The sequence below is a fragment of the Homo sapiens genome, chromosome 4, assembly GCF_000001405.40.
Source record: "Homo sapiens chromosome 4, GRCh38.p14 Primary Assembly".
NCBI classification, from domain to species: domain Eukaryota; kingdom Metazoa; phylum Chordata; class Mammalia; order Primates; family Hominidae; genus Homo; species Homo sapiens.
In genome coordinates, this window is record NC_000004.12 from 38730045 (window position 1) to 38733428 (window position 3384).

A 3384-nucleotide genomic window follows, 5' to 3' on the forward strand; every position below is an offset into this window, starting at 1 on the left:
TCTTGGGCATCTTTGATGAGGGCACTCTTCCCATTCAGGAGGCCTCTGCCTTCATGACCTAATCACCTCCCAAAGACCCAGCTCCCAGTACCATCACCTTAGGGGGTAGGATTTCAACATATGGATTTTAGGGAAACACAAACATTCAGACCATAGCAGAGGGGATGAGAGACCCCTGAAGCCTGCTAAGGCTCCTGAGAGCAGCTGACAAATGTATAGGATTTTGAAGAAACTTTTAAAGTCCCAGGGCAATCAACTTTGTTCCTGCTCTGAGTCTGAGAGGTCCCCATTCAAAGTTAGCCCCCTCATTCAGTCTTTTTTTTTTTTTTCTTAAATTTTGAGACAGGATCTTACCCAGGCTAGAGTGCAGTGGCACAATCACGGCTCACGGCAGCCTCCACCTCCCAGACTCAAGGGATCCTCCCACCTCAGCCTCCTGAGTAGCTGAGACTACAGGTACACGCCACCGTGCTTGGCTAATTTTTGTATTTTTTGTAGTGACAGGGTTTTGCCATGTAGCCCAGGCTGGTGTGGAACTCCTGGGCTCAAGCAGTCCACCCACTTTGACTTCCCAAAATGCTGGGATTACAGGCCTGAGCCCCTAACTCAGTCTTTATTGCACAGCATTAAAAGGGTGGAAGGAGCGCTTCACAGAGCCATTCTCCTCCTCCCACCACCATGAGAGGTACAAATTCTACCAAACCTCGTCTCCTGTCTGCCTCTGGTGCAGGTTGAGGTTTGGCCTTCAGGGATTGCTCCTCTGAGCTAATTTCTTGCAAAGGATGTGACAAAGGTCACTAGAGAGAAAACACCTCAGCACGTGTTCCATAGGCCAATGCGGTGAGTTCAGCACAGCCCCATCAGCACGCAGACCATGTGAGAGGACTCATGCATGGGAGGCCACCCACGAACAGGGCTATTTTAATAGAATGTCTTCGGGTGTGGTGAGAAAAACCCCGGCTTGGAGTGTTTGTGGTTCATCTGGAATCAGGCAGCGCTGTTATAAGCTTGGGGCCTATACAGGCTTCCTGGGTTTCTGCTTATTGATACACATTGTAGGTCCTCCAAGAACGGTCCTGAATCATTCCCTTGGTTATGTCCATGTACCGGATCATTCCTTTGATTAGTACACTGTAAATACTTCAAGAATGCTAGAGAAAGTTTTGAGATCAGAGCCTTTCCCACAAAAGGTCAGGAGTTCCAGTTCTCAATAAGCCGAGGTATCTGTGGTTAGAGGAGTCCAGAAAATGCGGGCTGTGTGCGCCCCCTGCTGGAGAGGGAGGCCCAGGCACGCGGAGCTTCTAGTTCAGGGCCGGGGTCCTCTTGAGGGTTCTCGGAGCACCTTCTCGCGGCTCAGAGGGTTCTTCTTCCTGTCCTTCCAGGGCGGCCTTGCGTGAGAGCAGGACTGCTAAGGGTAATGTGGCAATCTAGAGCCAGATTGCCGGGGTTCGAATCCTGCTTCTGCAACTGCTCTGTAACTTTTGGCAGGTCATTAAACCTCTCTGTGCCTCACCTTCCTCATCTGTAAAGTTGGGATGATCATATTAGAGCCTACCTCAGAGAGTACTTATGAGACATAAACGAGATAACATCTCAAACACTGAGGCACAAACAAAGCAAATGTCAAAACACTTAGAATGGTGCCTGGCACATAGGGAGTGTTATGTGTTAATTATATATTAATTATTGCTATTATTAATATCATCATCATAATTCTCTTGGTTATTAATAAAATCTAAGAGAAAGCTTTTCTCCTCTCTCTCAACCCTAAGGGTCACTTTCACGGGCATCAGAAATTCTAACAATCCCAGAGCCAGGATTACAGGCATGAGCCACCGCACTAGGCTCATTATTCTAGATACTAAGAGGAGGGAAGAAACTGCTAACTCTATTCCAATAAAAACATCTTCTTCAAAGAAAAAAGGTAAGCCAAGCACAGTGGCCATGCCCGTAATCCTGGCACTTTGGGAAGCTAAGGTGGGAGATCACTTGAGGCCAGAAGTTTGAGACCAGCCTAGGCAACCTAGCAAGACTCCCCCTCTACAAAAAAATTTAAAAATTGACACATGCCTGTGGTCCCCGCTACTTGAGAGGCTGAGGTATGAAGATCATTTGAACCCATGAGTTTGCAGCTACAGTGAGCTGTGATTGCACCACTGCACTGCAGCTTGGGCAACAGAGTGAAACACTGTCTCTAATTAATTAATTAATTAATTAATTAATTAATTTTTAATTAAAAAGAAAAAGAAAAAAGAATAACTTTCATATCAGCCAGGCACTTCCAAAGTTGTTGGGCTTGTTGGTTGTCTCTGATAGCAAAATAATCTATAGACTGCCTTTTATTTCTGCTTTTGGGAAAATTTAATAAAGTTTGGTTTCTGAGGTAGTACCCTCAATTTAACAATTTGTTTTCTTGAAAATTTGAAGATTATATATATGTCTCTTCACGTGTATGCATATGCCTTATGTATATACACACATATGTGTATTTGTGCAAACATGTATACATCCATATTCCATTTTAGGCATTAGGCATATGCTTACAAAGATACATAAACATATATATTGTGAGCATGTTTAAGACTATATAGGCCAGATTGGTGGCTCACATCTGTAATCTCAGCACTTTGGGAGGCTGACGCAGGCGGATCACTTGAGATCAGGAGCTTGAGACCAGCCTGGCCAACATGGGGAAACCCCATCTCTACTAAAAACACAAAAAAATTAGCCGTATATGGTGGCGGGCACTTGGAGTCTCAGCTATTTGGGAGGCTGAGGCACAAGAATTGCTTGAACCTGGGAAGCAGAGGTTGCAGTGAGCCAAGATTGCACCACTGCACTCCAGACTGAATGACAGAACAAGACTCTGTCAAAAAAAAAAAAAGACTATATAAACACATACATACAGAATGCCTTATAGATGTTTATGCCCCTTTGAGTGGAACACTGGTGGTTGTGGGGAGGAAGGCACACATGGAAGAAGTAAAAATAGCCATAGGGTTCCCCAGGGGACGATATTCTCAAGAAATTTGGAAGTTCAGCAGGGCACAGCTCAGAAAGGGAGGTGATGGTGGTGGTGGTGGTAGTGGTGTTGATGATGGTGATGGTGGTGGTGATGGTGATGGTGGTGGTGATGATGGTGGTGGTAATGGTGGGATGGTGGTGTTGGTGGTGATGGTGGTGGAGGCTGTGGTGTTAGTGGTGATGGTGGTGGTACTGGTGGTAGTGGTGATGGTGGTGGAGGCAGTGGTGGCGGTGGTGGTGATGGTGGTGGTGGTGATGATCATGGTTGTTGGGGTGGTAGTGGAGGTGGTGATGGTGGTAGTGTTGGTGGTGGTAGTGTTGGTGGTGGTGGTGTTAGTGGTAGTGATGGTGTTGGTGGTG

The 3384-nt window shown here is 46.1% G+C and overlaps 1 annotated feature.

The window, feature by feature from the left end:
- Nucleotides 802–1171: an enhancer, noted in NCBI's record as "active region_21441". NCBI's record gives its function as "activates an Ori minimal core promoter by ATAC-STARR-seq in GM12878 lymphoblastoid cells {active_cell/tissue: GM12878}" and the evidence as "EXISTENCE:reporter gene assay evidence [ECO:0000049][PMID:35858748]".